Consider the following 18,591-nt stretch of genomic DNA (forward strand, 5'->3'; position numbering starts at 1 on the left):
TTTCTGGTAGCCATCCTTCGACTCTCTATCTCCACGTGTTCAATTGTTTCGAGTTTTATATATCACAAATAAGTGAGAACATGTGATGTTTGTCTTTCTGTGTCTTGGTTATTTCACTTAACATAATGACCTCCACTTCCATCTATATTGTTGCAGGTAACTGAATCCCATTCTTTTTTATGGCTGAATAGTACACCACTGTGTACTATTATACTGTGTGTATGTATGTGTATATATATATATATATATACACATATATATATATATATACACCTCATAATATACCTCACTTTCTTTATCTATTCATCTGTTAATATACACTGGTTGCTTCCAAATCCTGGCTATTGTAAACAGTGCTGCAACGAACATGAGAGTGCAGATATCTCTTTGATACACTGATTTCCTTTCTTTTGGGTATATACTCAGCAGTGGGATTGCTGGATCATATGGTAGTTCTAATTTTAGTTTTTTGAGAAACCTCCAAACTGTTCTCCATAGTGGTTGTACTAATTTACATCCCCACCAACAGCGTATAACGGTTTTCTTTTCTCTACATCTCTCCAGCATTTGTTGTTGCCTGTCTTTTTGGAGAAAAGCCATTTTAACTGGGGTGAGATGACATCTCATTATAGTTTTGATTTGCATTTCTCTGATGATCAGTGATGTTGAGCACCTTTTCATATGCCTGTTTGCCATTTGTATGTATTCTTTTGAGAAATGTCTATTCAAGCCCTTTGTCCATTAGTTATTCAGATTACGAGATTTTTTACTATAGAGTTGTTTGAGTTTCTTATATATTCTGGTTATTAATCTCTTGTCAGATGGGGAGTTTGCAAATATTTTCTCCCATTCTGTGGGTTGTCTCTTCACTTTGTTGAATGTTTTGTTTGCTGTGTAGAAGCATTTTAACTCGATGTGATCCCATCTGTCCATTTTTTGTTGGTTGCCTGTGCTTGTGGGGTATTACCCAAGACATTTTTGCCAAGACCAATGTCTTGGAGAGTTTCCCCCATGTTTTCTTATAGTAGTTTCATAGTTTGAGGTCTTATGTTTAAGTCTTTAATATATTGGTTTGATTTTTGTATATGGTGATAGACAGGGGTTCAGCTTAATTTTTCTGCATATGGAAATCTAGTTTTTCAAGCACCATTTGTTGAAGAGATTGTCCTTTCTCCAATGTATGTTCTTGGCACCTTTGTCAAAAATGAGTTCACTGTAGGAGTATTAATTTGTTGCTGGGTTCTTTGTTCTATTCCATTGGTCTATGTATCTGCCTATATGCCAGTAGCATGCTGTTTTGGTTACCATAACTCCTTAGTATAACGTGAAATCAGGTAATGTGATTCTTCCAATTTTGTTCTTTTTGTTCAGGATAGCTTTGGCTATTCTGGATCTTCTGTGGTTCCATATAAATTTTTGGATTATATTGTATATTTTGTGAAAAATATCATTGGCATTTTGATAAAGATTTCATTGAATCTGTAGATTGCTTTGTTTAGTATGGACATTTTAACAATATTGATTCTTCTCATCCATGAACATAGAATATCTTTTTATTTTTTTGGTGTACTCTTTAATGTCTTTCATCAGTGTTTTATAGTTTTCATTGTAGAGATCTTTCACTTTTTGGTTAATTCCTAGGTAGTTAATTTTATTTGTGGCTACTATAAATGAGATTACATTTTGACTTGTTTTTTACATTGTTCACCATTGGCATATAGAAATGTTACTGGCTTTTGTATGTTGATCTTGTATCTTGAATTTTACTGAATTTGTTTATCAGTTCTAATAGTTTTTTGGTGGAGTCTTTAGGTTTTTCCAAATATAAGATTATATCATTTGGAAACAAGGATAATTTAACTGTTTCTTTTCCAGCTTGAATGCCCTTCATTTCTTTCTCTTTTCTGATTGCTCTAGCTACGACTTCCAGTGCTATGTTGAATAACAGTGGTGACAGTGGGCATCCTTGTTGTCTTCCAGATCTTAGAGGAAAGCCTTTCAGTTTTTCCCAATTCAGTATGACACCAGCTTTGGGTCTGTCATAGATGGATTTTATTATGGTGAGGTATGTACCTTCTATACCAAGTTTGTTGAGGGTTTTTTATCATGAAGGGATGTTCAATTTTATCAAATGCTTTTTCAGCATGAATTGAAATGATTGTATGATTTTTGTCCTTCATTCTGTTGATATGATGTATCATATTGATTGATTTGTGTATATTGAACCATCCTCACATCCCAAGGACAAGTCTCACTTGGTCATGATAAACGATCTTTTTAATGTATTGTTGGATTTGCATTGTTAGAATTTTATTGAGAATTTTTGCATCAGGATTCATCACAGATGTTGGCCTGTAGTTTTCTTTTTTTGATGTGTCTTTATCTGGTTTCGGTATCAGGATAATACTGGCCTCATAGAATGAGCTTAGAAGTATTCCCTCCTCCTCTATATTTTGGAATAGTTTCAGTAGGATTGCTGTTAGTTCTTCTTTAAATGTTTGGTAGAAATCAGCAGTGTAGCCATCAAGTCCTAGGTGTTTCTTTACTGGGAGACGTTTTATTATGTCTTCAATCTTATTACTTATTATTGGTCTTTTCAAGTTTTGGATTTCTTCATGGTTCAATTTTGGTAGGTTGTATGTGCCAAGGAATTTATTCATTTCCTGTAAATTTTCCAACTTGTTGGCATATAGTTGCTGATAGTAGCCACTACTGATCCTTTGAATTTCGGCAGTATCAGTTGTAGTGTTTCCTTTTTCATATCTGATTTTATTTATTTGGGTCCTCATCCTTTTTTTTCTTTGTTAATCTGGCTAATGGTTTGCTGATTTTGTTTATCTTAGAAAAATCCTTTTTGTTTCATTGACTTTTTTGTATTGTTTTCTTCATTTCAATTTCGTTTACTTCTGCTTTGATCTTTATTATTTCTTTTCTCCTATTATTTTTGGGTTCAGTTTGCACTTGCTTTTCTAGTTCTTTAAGATGCATTGTTAGATTATTTATTTGAAGGTTTTTTCTTTTTTGATGTAGGCACTTACAGCTATAAACTTTCCTCTTAGTGCTGTTTTTGCTGTATCCCATAGGTTTTGGTATGTTATGTTTCCATTATCATTTCTTTTCCAGAAAGTTTTTCAATTTCCATCTTAATTTTTTCATTGACCCACTGATCATTCAAGAGCATATTGTTTAATTTCCATTGAGTTTGTATAGTTTCCAAAATTCCTCTTGTTGATTTCTAGTTTTATTCCATTGTTGTCAGAGAAGACGTTTGATATTGTTTAGATTTGTGTAAATGTTTTAACACTTGTTTTATGACCTAACATATGGTCTATCCTTGAAAATGATCCATGTGCTGAGAAAAAGAATGTGTATTCTGTAGCCTTTGGTTGAAATGTTCCATAAATATATATTAGATTCATTTGTTGTATAGTGCTGATTAAGTCCAATATTTTTTGTTGAGTTCCTGTCTGGGACATCTGTCCAATGCTGAAAGTGGAGTGTTGAAATCTCCAGCTATTATTGTACTGGGGTCTATCTCTCTCTTTAGCTCTAATAATATTTTTTTATATAGCTGTGTGCTCCAGAGTTGGGTGCATATATATTTTAAATTGTTATATACTATTACGGGGTTGACTCCTTTATCATTATATAGTGACCTTCTTTGTCTCTTCTCACAGTGTTTGTTTTCAAATCTATTTTGTTTGATATAAGGATAACTACTCCTGTTCATTTTTTGTTTCAATTGGCATGGAATATCTTTTCACATCCCTTTATTTTCAGTCTATGTGTATCTTTATAAGTGAAGTGTGTTTCTTGTGGGCAACAGATCATAGAGTCTTGTATTTTCATCCATTTGGCCACTCTGTGTCTTTTGATCAGAGAGTTTAGTTCACTTATATTTAATGTGATTATTTACGTGTAGAAACTTACTCCTGCCACTTTGTTATTTGTTTTCTGGTTGTTTTGGGGTCGTCTCTCTTTTCTTTTCTTCCTTCCTGTCTTCCTTTCAGTGAAGATAATTTTCTCTTGTGCTTTAACTTCTTGCTTGTTTCTGTTGTGTTTTTTGATTTGAGGCTATCATGAGACTAGTAAATACTGTCTTGTAACTCATTATTTTAAACTGAAGACAACTTAACACTGATTGCATAAACACAGAAAGAAAACTCTACACTTTAATTTCATCAACTCACTTTTTAATTTTTTGTTGTTCCTTATGTCTTGTTGTACTGTTTATATCTTGAAAAGTTTTTGTAGTTATTACTTTTGATTGGTTCATCATTTAGTCTTTCTACTTAAGATAAGAGAAGTTTACACACCACCATTACAATGTTATCATAGTCTGTGTTTCTCTGTGTGCCTACTATTACCAGTGTACCAGTATTTTTACCTTCAGACAATTTCTTCTTGCTCATTAATATCATTTTCTTTCAGATTGAAAAACTCCCTTTAGCATTTCTTATAAGACAGGTCTGGTGTTGATGAAATTCCTCAGCTTTTGTTTGTCTGGGAAAGTCTTTATTTCTCCTTCATGCTTGAAGAATATTTCCACCAGATATACTATTCTAGCATAAAAGTTCTTTTCCTTCAGCACTTTAAACATGTCTTGCCACCCTCTCCTGGCCTGTCAGGCTTCCACTGAAAAGTCTGCTTTCAGATGTATTGGAGGTCCATTGAATGTTATTTGTTACTTTTCTCTTGCTGCATTTAGGATTCTGTCTTTGTCTTTGACTCTTGGGAGTTTGATTATTAGATGCCTTGAGTTAGTCTTCTTTGAGTTAATCTGCTTGGTGCTCCATAACCTTCTTGTACTCGAATGTTGATCTCTTTCTCCAGGTTTGGGAGGTTTTCTGTTATTCCTTTGAATAAACTTTTTACCCTTATCTGTTTCTCTACTTCTTCTTTAAAACCAATATCTCTGAGATTTGCCCTTTGGAGGCTATTTTCTAGATCTTATAGGTGTGCTATGTTGTTTTGGTTTGGTTTGGTTTGGTTTGGTTTGGTTTTCTTTTGTCTCTTATGATTGTGTATTTTCAAATAGGCTGTCTTCAAGTTCACTGATTCTTTCTTCTGCTTGATCAATTCTGCTATTAAGTGACTCTGATGCATTCTTCAGTATGTCAATTGCAATTTTCAACTCTAGAATTTCTGCTTGATTCTTTCTCATTATTTCAATCTCTTTGTAAAATTAATCTGATAGAATTCTGAATTCCTTATCTCTGTTAATCTTGAATTTCTTTGAGTTTCCTCAAAATGGCCATTTTGAATTCTCTGTCTGAAAGGTCACACATCCTTATTTCTCCAGTATTGGTCTCTGATGCCTTATTTAGTTCATTTGGTGAGGTCATTTTCCTGGATCATCTTGATGCTTGTAGATGTTCATCTGTGTCTGGGCATAGAATAGTTAGGTATTTACTATAGACTTTGCAGTCTGGGCTTGTTTGTGCTTGTCCTTGGGAAGGCTTTTCAGATATTTGAAGCTGCTTGGTTCCCAAGCCCAATATCACTGTGGTCCTTGCAGACTCGTAGAGGTACCATCTTGGTGGTCTTGGAGAAGATCTAGAAGAAGGCTCTGGATTAATAGGCAGAGATTCTTGTTCATTTCCCTTAGTTTCTCCCAAACAAACAGAGTCTCTTTCTCTGTGCTGAGCTGCCTGGAACTGGGATTATGATGATGCAAACACCCCTATGGCCACTATAACTGGGACTGCACTGGGTCAGGCCTAAAGACTCAGTCAGCACAGCACTGAGTCTTGTCCAAGGCCCACTATAACTACTACCTGGCTACCACCTATGTTCACTCAAGGCCCTAGGCCACTACAATCAGCAGGTGGCAAAGCCAGCCAAGTTTGTGTCCTTCCCTTCAGAGCGGCAAGTTCCTCCAGGCCCCAGGCAGGTCCAGAGATGCTGTCTGGGAGCCAAGGATTAGAGTGAAAAACATTAGAAATTTGCCTGACATTCTGTTCTACTATGGCTAAGCTAGTACTAAAACCATACTATAAAGTACTTCCTGCTCTTCCTTCCCCTTTCCACAGGGAGAAGAGCCTCTCCCTCTGAGCACCACCACCAGCAGCCCTTGGCAGGGTTCTGTCAGGCCACCGGCAATTTTCACTTAAGCCCAAGGGTTCTTCTGTCAGCTTGTGGTGAATGCTGCCTGGCCTGGGATTCACCCTCTGCACAGTGGGTTCCCCTCTGACCCACAGAAGGTCCGGAAATGCTGTTCAAGAGCCTAGGCCTGGACTCAGAGACCCCAAGAGCCTGCTTGTTGCTCTACCCCACTGTGGCCAAGCTGGTACATAAGGTGCAAAACAAAGTCCCCTTTACTTTTCCCTATGCTTTTCTCAAGCAGGAGTCTTTCACCATAGTCACCACTGCTGGGAATGTGCTGGGTCACACATGTAGTAAGTGCGTCCCAAGTGCCCAAGGCTCACAGCATACTCCCTGGCTATCACTGATGGTTATTCAGGGTCCGAGGGCTCTTTAATCAGCAGGTGATAAATCCTTCCAAGACTGGATCTTTCTCTTCAAGACAATGGGTTCCCTTTTGTCCTAGAGTATGTCAAGAAATATTCTCTCCAGGAGCTAGGGCCTGGAATGGGGGCCTCATGACTGCCTGGTGCCCTCTCCTACTGTAGCTGAGCCGGTATCCAAGATGCAAGACAACGTCCTCTTTACTCTTTGCTCTCCTCGCCTTAAACAGAAGGAAGGACGCACTTTCATTGCTGTGAGTTGCACTTCCTGGGATTGGGGGAGGAGTGGCGCAAGCAATCCTTTAGCTGCTCTGGCTAGTGTCTCCCTAGGTCACATGCCACCCTAGTCCACTGGCTCTAATCCCAATCCAGCACTAGGAGTTGCCTAGGAATTGAAGTCCTTGTGTGCTAGACTGTCTTTCAAGTTTACCAAGGACCTTAGAGCATGTTGGCCCATGGTGGCAAGACTTGACAAGAAACTCAAGCTCTAACTGATGACATGCATAACTTCCCCTTGGCTAAGTCTGGTCCAAATGATCCCTCCATGTGTGAGCAAAGCCTGAGCAGAGCATGGATTTGCTCTCTGCTATGACAGGGTAGTACTGAGTTCAATGTAAAGTCCCCCTGTCACTGTGCTCTCCCTCCCCCACATAAATAGACCCTCCGCACTTCATGGCCACTGCCGGGAGATAGGGGAAAGGTGGCATTGGCGATTCAAGACTGTCTCTCCAACCCTCCTCAATGCCATTTTCATTAACTTTTATGAAGATAAAACGAGGTACTGCGATTGCTTACCTGATTTTTTGTTCTTCTGATGGTGCTTTTCTGTATGCAGATAGTTGTTAAAATTTGGCCTTCCTGCAGGGGGTACAAATGGTATAGGGTTCTATTCTGCCATTTTGCTCTGCCCTCATAATTTTTAACTGCAGTCTAAAAATTGCTTTCAAGTATTATTTACATAGATATTAAAATTTCCCTGATAGTTACCATATGTTTATTCTTCAGACGAACAGGCAGTGTAATGAAGATAATTGAGAAAGTGAAAATTGGAATGAGAAGGAGGTAGTCAGAATCAGATCATACTTTTTCACTAGTATTTGTTGAGTACTTGCCATTGGCAAGACACTGAGTATATCGCAGTGGATAAAATGGAACCTAAATTTCATGAACCTTATTGTTTAATGAAAAAGAGAGATATTACATAAATGTCTTTTCTATGCAAAAAAATACATGCTTACAAACTGTGCTGTGTACTATGAAAAACCAAGGAAAGCTACTAAGAGAAGTTTTAATGTCGACTTCATTTAGATTGGCACTTGTCAGTAAAGTCTTCTCCAAAGATATGACAGAATAAATTACCTTCAGATTTATCCAGGTGAAGATTTGGAGTAGAAACATTTCAGGGGAAGAAACCACATATAGGAAGATGCTGAGGTAGAAAAGTGCTTGGTGAGTTTCAGGGAAAGTTTCATGTGACTAAAATTCAGTGAAGGATGGAGGGTGGCACAAGATAAGGCTAGACAAAGAAGCAAGGATCATATGCAGCGCTTGCGATCATGCTAAGAATTTTGTAATTTAAGTGGAAAGGGAAATCAGGGAAAGATTTTGAGTAGACAGTCACATAATCATATTTGTATCTTTTAAATATTACTTTGCAGGGAATGTATTGGAAGGAAGCAAGAGAGGGAATGCGATTCTATGCCAAAAGGCAATGGGATAAGATGGTAGATTCGACTAGGGTGATGATAATGATAGAATTGAAGAAAAGTAGCTAAATTTAAGATATATACCAGAGATAGTACTGATAGGACATGACAGTGGACTAAATTTAGAAAAGAGGAAAGAGGAGGTGTCAAAACTATCTATCTTTCAACACAGCAACTTGTTGGTTGATGGTGTCATTTAATGACATGGAGAAACCCTGCAGAAAGAGAATATCTGGTAGGGCTGAGATGTGGAAATCATGAGTTCAACTATTAAGACTATTAATTCCACTTGTGATCCAAATACTTCATTTACGTTTTATAGTTACATAGCCAGATTCCTCAGTGTTTTTGAACCATGTCCTCCACTAGAAAAATCTTAACATAGATTTCAGAGTTCCTAGATCTAAGATGCTACTTTCAATCAAGGATCAATGAAAAGACTAATTAGAATTAACTTTTAAGGTAGACTTTTTGCCACAGATTAAAAAATAATATGTGCTTAATCTCAAATCGAACAATCCAGAGGAGAGTAATCAGCCAAAAATTTAGCATGATGGCTAAAGCTTTTAAAACCTGATAGTCTGCCTTCCGGATCACACTACCTGCAATCTTAACCCAAACTTTTCTATACAATAACGTTTCAGGTGTTCTCTCTGGTGATGAATGCAAATTTGGGAGCAAATTTATGTTGCCTTCTTCTAAAATGAATTTAAAAGCAGCCCCCTACTAACTGAATGACTCACAAGCTGGAACTACTCGGCAGTGGCTGAGCATATTTGGAGGAATCAGAAGAGAAGCAGGCTTAGGAAGGGGTAGTGGGGTAGAAGTCAGAGTTCACCACAGGAGTCTCATGAGAAAGAATCCCAAAATCTACAGTGAAAGTAGAAAATACAGTCTGTCTCTTTTAGTGGAAAATAAGTGGCCCAGTAGTTTCATAATTTCCACATTATACTTGAGTGGTAGGATCATAGCATCTAAAAACAATAGAGGCAGGGTAGTAATGACAACAATAATTTTAAAAATCCATTAAATGCATATCATGTTTCCAGAACTATACTATCTTCCAAAATTACCTCTGAACCCCTTTGAGGTAATGCCCTTATGACTAGCATTTTAGAGAACAGGAAACAAGGCTTAGAGCTCATAGGTCATTTGCCAAAAGCCATGCAGTTGGTGAATGAGAGCATGAACAGCCAGATACGTCTGATTCCAGAAGCGATGTTTTCTGCTACTATGCCACACTGCACCAGCACACAAATAAAAGATGAAACTAAAAAACCCATTTAGTCAGGTGTGCTGGTGTGCATTTGTAGTCCTAACTACTGCAGGAGGATTGCTTGAGCCCAGGAGGTCGAGGATGCAGTAAGCTATGATCACCACCACTGTACACCAGCCTGGGAAACAGTGAGATCCCGTCTCAATAAATTAACTAATTAATTAAAAATTGCAGTAGTTTTTAGTGTTAAAGCTAGGAAAAAAAAGTAAAAACTGTATATACATTGGTTGCCAAATATTTTTAAATCCAAAATAAGGGAAATGTCTCTGCTATGCTGGGCCATCCTTTCATGCCATGTGGGTTCTGAAGACACAGCTGACTACTCGCCGTTATTGAAAACTACCTTGAGCTTTTGAACAGCATAATTTCTTACAAATTTGCAGATGCTTGAATTTTATAACATAGCTCTTGTCATTGTGTATTTCTTCCCACACTCTTCAAAAAGTTGTTAACCTCCTCAGCACCACATAACATTTCCATGTAACAAACCTGCACATGCACCCCTGTATCTAAAAGTTGAAATTTAAAATAAAAGAATACTATTTAACAACCACCAGAAATAATAAAGTTACTTCAGCACATTTTTTAAAGTTGTTAACCTATAATTCATTTTTTAATGTTTGTGATATGAATTCATTTTTCTTCATCTGGTCTTTATCACCATACCCCTAGCCTTCAATCACTTTAGTTGAGCACAAATTATGTGTTGATAAGGGATGTCTAGTGGGAAAAAATTAGTTTAGTTTGAGTTTTTAAAAACCAGTACGAAAAAAGCAATGAGATATTTCAATTCAATTTTTAGTGGAGTTCTAAATATGATGGTTATGTAGTTATGGTAATTTCTGCAAATGATGCAAATAAAATGAAGAATATGAAACTTTACCTCTCACCCTTCAGAAACACAGGAATGGTCCACTCAACCTCCAATACCACCCATCCTCTTTCTCACAGTAGCAAGATAGTGGCTCCCGTTTTTGGCATCCTCAACTACAGCTGACGGAACTGAGTTTTGAACAATAAACAGAGTTTACGAGATAAGAAAAGGGCATTCCAATTGAGGAAGACAGTGTGTACAGTATACAGCAATGACATGAAGGAAATCATCAGAAATTGGGGCGATGAGTGCTGATAGAAGATGAGGCTATATAGGTAGGTTGGGACCAAATTTTGAGGGCCTTTTATGCTGTATCAAGGAATTTGAACAAGTATTTAGGTAATGGCAAACCACTGGCAAGCTGTTTTCTTTCTGCATTCAGGCACTTCATATACTTTCTTCCCCTCCTGTTCTTATTTAGGTTTAAAAACAAAGCTAACCATACCTCTAACTTTTTCCATATCAGTTGGCTGCATATTTCTGCAATTTAAACCATTTAGCAGCCTGATACTATGATTCTGTGTATGTGAAACTGTTATTTGGCATGAAGACAGTCATTAATTTAAAAGAACCTATTTGAGTGGAATTTTTGAAGATTTTTTCCAAGCAATTGAAAAATATAAACAGAAAAATAAAAAATAACTTTGGAGAAAAAAATACCTGTCAACTACTGAAGCCATGGGTGTTCTATTTCTAAAAGACACGTTTCATTTTGTATTACTGTGTAATTTTCCTCTATGCCTTTTTTTTTTTAACTGGAGTCATTTTATGTACAAGAGCTTGACTTCAAATCAACTAAGTTCCCAGAATATTTGGCTGTTTCAGTACCTTCAACTTTCACTATAAGGGCTTCTACTTCAAAAAAAATTACTCTGTTGAATTTTACCACATTATCCAATCAAAAGTGTGTGCTTCTCCTAAGGCAGGGAACGTTGTTACTGCTGGCCCACATGCTGAAAGGACAACAGAAATGTGGAAAACTTGGTAGAAACTGTAGAGCAGACAAAATAAAATCTTAACAGCAGCCTAATGAACTTGGAAGGTGTTCTGTTCCTCTAATAAACATTGGTTTTATTTTGCGGGAAGTGCTTAGTTTTGTTTGTAATAAGTGTCTAACATTTAACTTGTTGACGTATGGGCAATAGGAAAACAGGTGGCTACGACAAGGATGTGCAAAATAGAGGCTCTTTCAAATTATTCATTAAAATCACTAGATCTGTCTCACCACCCCTCAAACACAGATGCATCAACATAAGGACTGGTGAAATGGCTAACAGGCTTCATGACGTCTAGAGGTGTTAATACTTATATCACTTTAATTTTACCACACAATTAAGTAATGATGCATTTAAATATATATATTTACAGTACATTTGAAAATCTTACTGTAAAAATAGGATCAAGATAAATCTTTACACGCTCCAATTAACATTTGCTTGGTCTTAGGAGCACGGCATTCCAACGGACATGGGCTACGCTGTGGCCCCTCACCATTCGGGCGTCTACCCTGTACATGTTCAGCTTTATGAGGCCTGGAAGAAGGTCTGGAATATTAAAATCACCAGCACTGAAGAATATCCACATCTGAAGCCAGCTAGATACCGGAGGGGTTTTATCCACAAAAACATCATGGTGAGCTTCCTCCAGTATGCATAGGGTACAACTAATTCTGCAAGATTTCATTCCTCACTTGAAGAAAGAAAAACACAAATGTTAGCAGCATAAATGTAGGAAAAGCTCCATGCTGCAGGAAGCATATTTGTCATATCTAAGCAGAAAATGTTTTAATTAAAATCACTTCTTTTCAATTCTTCAAATATAACTGAAAAAGGTTTTGTTACTGACATTACCACTGGTAAGCAGGCACTGATGTTAAAATACTAAAAAAAAATTACATTTAACTTGCAGATAATTTTTAGTAGACATCACTTCTTCAAAATGTTATTCAGTATGAAAAACTAACACCAACTCTGTCTATATTAACCATGCTGCTCTTTGACAAGCCAGTCAAACTGTGTTCTTCTATTTACCATGCCAGGCTAAAAAAGAACTCAACCATTTGCAGCCAGAAGCCACATGTGAAGCCCTGCATAATCATTAACATATAATAATATAGAGTAAAAATGACAGGTGATGCTAATTAAATCATTTGCATACACCATCTAATTCTATCCTGGGCTTCTCTGTTTTGTTTTTTACAATTTCAGCAAATGTATATTGTCAAAATATGCTACTACCTCCCAAAGTAAGCAATTAAATCCTAATTTATTCCCAAATCAGAAAATCCTAAGAAAGTCCTGGTAAAGCTAGGAATGGGCCTCCTAATTTAGAATCACACACTGGGAAGAAACACCACAGAAGAACACTATGTGATGAGCCACCGTAACACTCTGTTGAACTGATATGTCTGAAGAGATGTTTACCCTTTAGAATTAGGTTATAACTGACTTCTTTTCAGAGAGTTTTTCAATGTCTGCAAAAATTACAGAGTGGATAGACATATAGCTTAGATCATCTCCCATCTTGACTTTTCCCTCAATAAAAACTGTTGTAAATGCTAGACGGGGACATAATGGCCACATTTTATCCCAATCTGCCCTTCCTCTGTACTGAAAATGAACCTACTGTGGCTCAAGCTGCCAGAATTCTGACCAGAGGGAGTTTAGAAGACCTGGGATATATTTTTTCATTTCTCCTGAAAACACATTTTTATCTGTATTATAAATGCATGAATCATGCAGGTAATCAAGGCTCTAACAGATTTCCTGTTTTGATGGAACTGTCCCTGTGGATCTGCTTTTGCAGCAATCTGTGGAAACCTATATTTGGCTTGTGGGCTCTTGGATGAGAGTTTCCAAGTGGGAAATGTTCAGCAGACAGTTGATTACACAATAAGCGAGAGAAAATAAGACTAGGAGCCATCCAAATAGAGAAGCAAGTAGAGACCACAGGAGCCAATATGCCCTCCTAGGGAGAGAATGCATCTAGAAATAGGGAACTGAGGAGTGAACTTTAGATCACACTCTTATTTTGCTGTATGAGAGCAACTTTTTTCTGATGATCCATTCCCAAATCCAACTCAAAAGGTCTCATTATCTTCCCTTCGAACCGGCTATTGATTGTGCCATTATCCTTAATTCAGTTCTGTAATTCAAACATCATTCTATCCCCCTACCACCACTTCCAATCAGTGTCTATATTTCATCAATAATTCCTTTATATCTTTTTTATTTCCTTTCCCACTGCCACCATCTTAATTTACTTCCTTGACTTTCATGTGTGAACCTGGTGCTGCTTCCTACTTTATCTATTTACAGGTTCCATCCACCACCTCACTGCAGTCTATCCCATAGACAGTGCCAACCTTTTAATCTTTCTAAAATGCTGCCTTTATCCTGGCCTTCCTAACCTTGATTAGTTCCAGTTGCTTCCATATCCCCTAATGTGCCCTTCAGGTACCTGAAAACCATCTGGACTGTCTACCTTTCTATTTCCTATTTCCCTATGGCTGAAGCACACTCACTCCAACCAAACCCCATAATAGTATTGCTGTTACCATGCCTGTGTCATTCTTTCCACCTTGAGAGACTTTCTGGCCACTATCTACCTATTTCTATTCCCTTTATTCTTCAATATCAAATCCCATATCTTAAATAATTGAAAACAAAGCACCTTAGTATATAGCAACTCAATACCTAACTCATACCTACAGGGATCTTATTCTCCTCTGAATTCCTACAACACATCATTTTGTATTTTCATCAGGAACATAAACACCAATTACACTTTAAGCTGTTTGAGCCCTAACCAAAGTCTCTGGACCCCTAGTTTTATTGCATTTTCAACTGAGTCATTTTCCTTCAGCCAAGACCTGATGGAAACCAGCACTCTCTACTCTAATCTCTGGTTGTTGAATATGACTCTCTGGAAAGAACCAGTATATTAGTCCATTCTCACATTGCTATGAGTAAATACCCAAGACTGGGTAATTTATAAAGGAAAGAGGTTTAATGGACTCATAGTTCAGCATGGCTGGGGAGACCTCAAGAAACTTACAATCATGGCAGAAGGCAAAGGGGAAGCAAAGCACCTTCTTCACAAAGCAACAGGAAGGAGAAGTGCAGAGCAAACCGGGAAGAGCCCCTTATAAAATCATCAGGTCTTGTGAGAACTCACTCGCTATCACAAGAACAGCATGTGGGAAACTGTCCCCATGATTCAGTTACCTCCACCTGGTCTCTCCCTTGACATATGAGTATTATGGGGATTACAATTTAAAATGAGATTTGAGTGAGGACACAAACCCTAACCATATCAGCCAGAGACCTCTAAAAAATTAGACTACACATCCTATCTACTTACTGTTTTTAATGGAAATGCCCATTGGTAGAGACTCATTAATCCTGCTGTAAACCCTCTAAGTGGTCTTTATTGGTATCTCCCCAGAAGTATTTGTTGGCAGTTGCTCCTGAATGAGCCTTAGGTACAGGATATTGACTTCAGTCCACATTGGCCAAGATTCTTGTTGATCATGGCTTTCATAATAAACTCCTAGCTATTTTCAGCAGCAATAGGGTTCTCAGGGGTTCATCGGCATCTCAAAGTTTGACTTTGATACTGTTACATTCCCAGAACCAATTCTAGGGGGCAGTCCACAGCAGAATGCCTAAAAATGTTTCTCATCCTTTCCGTAGCATAAGAAAGCTGTTTCAAGGAACATGCTCATCATTCGGTGCCACTGCATTTATGGAGCAAGGCAGTGGAATATGACCCTTATCACACTCCTGATCATCTCCTTAGCCTCCTGTAGTGGTCCACTGACTCCCGCTAGGGCTCTCTATGGGGTTCATACCCTCAGCAGGAGTAGTGCTCCTGCAGTTGCAGGGTAAAGCCTGCCACTTCCTCTTCACTGCATTGAAATTCAAATAATTTGAGAAATAGACAAAATTCAAATATCTTTTTGCTTCTCTCTTCGTTTTGCACAGAATCAGCTAGGCAATCAAGTCCCAAAGATGGCTCTGTATATATCCTATAATTTTCCAAGCAAAATATTCAAACTGAACCCTAGAAGTGATTCAGTCATAGTCATACACTTTTAAAATGTTAAATGCCATTTAACACGTGAGCATTTTATTATGTAGCTTTTGGGTCTTTCCCATTACCCCAATATAGCTTAAATCCTTCAAGAGTAGAAAACATATATCTTTCTGTTCTCTCACATGGGCTGGCATGGAACTAGGATATGGATCTAGTATTCTAGCATAAAACTAACTCCATGCAACCTATTAACATACAGTCCATAGCTAGTTCCACTAGCACTTAACTAAATCTATTCTGTGGGCTAGCATAGAGTTTAGAATAAATATTTGTTAAATAAATGAATAAATACTATATAAAGTATTTATTCCAAATGCTTTCCAAATTCAAAATTTCATTTTTAATTTCCAAATATTACATTTATAATAGTTGTTAGGAAATATATTTAATTCCATTAGAATGCATTTGCATTTAGTTGTTTTTTGTTATTATTTTTGTGTATAGATAGGATCATGAGGATGCATAATGCTTTTAAACATAGACATCATCAGAGCTAATATTTTATACTTAAACAGAAGTTTTTTAACTATTTTATTAAGATAAAATAGCTTCTAAGGATATAACTTCTACCAACTTACCAAAATAAATAGGATATATAGAGTTTTTATTTATGCAGATATACTGATTGAGCTGTCTGTCCAAGGACTAGATTATACAATAGGTTGTATTATATAACCAGTATTATATAATACTATCCAAGGGCTAGACGAAAATTTATTTTAATACACATTCAAACTAAAATAAAAAATAAAAATAAAATAAAATAAAATAAAAACACTAGTATATTTCTACAGGGTTGCAAAACATGGGAAGTCCTGGACAGGTAATATTTTGAAAGCATTTACTGAACCAAATGTGCTTTAAGACTCAAGACATAAAACATGAAGATTGATTTACTTAGGACAATAAGCAGAAGACCTGTCCCTATATGATTTTGTAACATTTGTAGCTCTCTGAAGTATACTCATTAATGTTCTGCTACTTCAAATGTATAGTGACAAACACAGGTCACCATGAAGTCATTGTAAAATATTCTGCTTAAGGCTTTATTATCTTGCACAACTTTAATTCACACCTTCTTTTATAATTGCAAAAGGCTATAAAAATTTGAAAAACCTTATCACGAGTGTATATAATTGAAGCAGATAATACATATATACAAAGGATGAAGAGAAGACCTCTTACTAAATGACCTTTTATCATTTTGTTGTTACACTTTCTAAAAGTAACAAACCAAGTGAATAATCTCTTTCTTACAGTAGGAACTGGCAGGCTTCACACTTAGAATCTGAGGTAATTACTATAGCCTGCAGTAGTCCTTTCAGACGAGAACAGATACTGTGATTTGTGTCTCAAATATTCATTCTAATTTAAAATGTCATTCCCTAAGAAGCACATTGAGTTGATAACTGACTTCATTTTCTAATGCATGGCAGAATTTGGCAGAAAATATTTTCTTAAAATTATTGCCTATTAAGATTACAGTATAGCACAGACAATCCAATACTTTTTTTAAAGTCTCATTTTTACTTCTTTTTTTTTAATCTCTTAAGATGCTAGAACCTACTAGGCTTCATAAAAGAAGTACTCACTTTGATATTTAAAACAGACAAGTAGCTAAAATAACACAACACCTATTTTAGTTTTAAAATATTTCTTCAACTTTCTTCACTATTCCTTCCATATTAACATCACCTTCCCTTGCCTAGAGTATGATAGATTGTCCAGGCCCTGGTTAGACCTGAATAATTCACTAGCTTGTGCATCATCTTGTGTGAGCAAAAAGCTAAGTTTCAACAAATTGATTGGAAAAAAAAAAGCTTTTCCTTACTTTTTTCATTTTTCCTTCAGGTTCTCCCAAGACAAACCTGTGGGCTTTTCACTCACACCATTTTCTACAAAGAATATCCAGGGGGTCCTAAAGAGCTGGATAAGAGTATCCAAGGAGGAGAACTTTTCTTCACTGTCGTCCTCAACCCTGTAAGTACTTTATTCTCCAAATAAATAGTGAAAAATGATAGGGCTGGCAAAAATTACCCTGGCAAAGAGGCTAGGGATTGGGCAGTCATCAGCCAAGCCAATATGAAGTTCTAGCTCTGAAACAGTAGTAAAAACTAAATGGAACCACATCTAGAAATGGGAACAAACCAATTCTACAAGTAGCAGTAACATGAGGAACTCATGGCAGAACCAGGGAAGTGCTCCAGCGGATCCTCCTTTGCATTGCAAAGTGATCAGAAGCTTTCATGGGGAATAAAATTTTTCACCTGTAAAACTCTCCTATTTCCACGGGGAACCATTTTTTTTTCCATTTAGACAACAGTTACCTCTATTATTATTTTTATTTTACTATTTAAAGTTAACGTAGAAGCAAAATAGTAGAGGAATTAGGTAAGCAAATCTAGTTATATTTTCTACTTCATGTTAGATTCGTCTTGCTAGGTCATAGGCTGAAGCAGAGCAGGCCTATTTAATGGGCTACTTTTTTTTTTTTGAGATGGAGTCTCACTCTGTCACCCAGGCTCGAGTGCAGTGGCGCCATCTCGGCTCACTGCAAGCTCCGCCTCCCGGGTTCACGCCATTCTCCTGCCTCAGCCTCCCGAGTAGCTGGGACCACAGGCACCTGCCACCACACGGGGCTAATTTTTTGTATTTTTAGTGGAGACGAGGCTTCACTGTGTTAGCCAGGATGGTCTCAATCTCCTGACCTTGTGATCTGCCTGCCTCAGCCTCCCAAAGTGCTGGGATTACAGGCGTGAGCCACCACGCCTGGCCGGGCTACTCTTTTACTTCTTCATACTTGTGTGTCAGCTCCACAATGAACCATTTGCATATATTTCTGCTTGAGGCAAGTATTAGAAAGTTGTGTAGAGAAAGAACAAATGGAAGTAAGCTGCATAAGGAAAAGAAGGGATTTTATTTCCCTTTTGAAAATCACTATCATAAAAAGTAAAGCTAAGTTTATTTATCAGAAGATGTATGGGTTTGCCCTTGGCATTGGCAATATTCAAGATGGAAAAAAAATTATTATTTCCAAATGTAAAAAAAAAAAATTATCAGTGAAAAAAGTTGGATAGGGATAAATTGAATAAAATTTGCAAAACCCCTCTCTTGACCTTAGTTTTATAGTCCCTGCAAATAAAATTGCAGATAGTGTTCACCATCTACTTG

General features: G+C 37.0%; 1 protein-coding gene and 1 long non-coding RNA gene across 17 annotated transcripts in view; one reads left to right on the plus strand and one right to left on the minus strand.

Annotated features, from left to right (window-relative positions):
- Positions 1-18,591, plus strand: part of NDST3 (N-deacetylase and N-sulfotransferase 3) — a 225,313-nt gene that overhangs the window by 92,963 nt on the left and 113,759 nt on the right. For 12 of the 13 annotated variants that reach the window (NR_146513.2, NR_146514.2, XM_006714416.4 and 9 more), the window contains 2 exons: positions 11,770-11,955; positions 17,272-17,400. Coding sequence is in view for 11 of the 13 variants with exons in the window: in XM_006714416.4 (XP_006714479.1) it covers positions 11,770-11,955; positions 17,272-17,400 (315 nt within the window). In the remaining 2 variants the exon portion in view is untranslated. Of the gene's footprint in view, positions 1-10,510; positions 10,599-11,769; positions 11,956-17,271; positions 17,401-18,591 lie in introns of those variants that run through there. The other variant, XM_017008843.2, reaches the window with a different exon arrangement.
- The window catches only part of LOC107986307 (uncharacterized), a 149,690-nt gene that overhangs the window by 71,548 nt on the left and 59,551 nt on the right, over positions 1-18,591 (minus strand). For 2 of the 4 annotated variants that reach the window (XR_007058243.1, XR_007058242.1), the window contains exon 1: positions 7,263-10,352. This is a non-coding gene — a long non-coding RNA (uncharacterized LOC107986307). Of the gene's footprint in view, positions 1-7,262; positions 10,452-18,591 lie in introns of those variants that run through there. The other 2 variants (XR_007058240.1, XR_007058241.1) reach the window with 2 other exon arrangements.

Source organism: Homo sapiens, chromosome 4, assembly GCF_000001405.40.
Source record: "Homo sapiens chromosome 4, GRCh38.p14 Primary Assembly".
Lineage (NCBI taxonomy): Eukaryota > Metazoa > Chordata > Mammalia > Primates > Hominidae > Homo > Homo sapiens.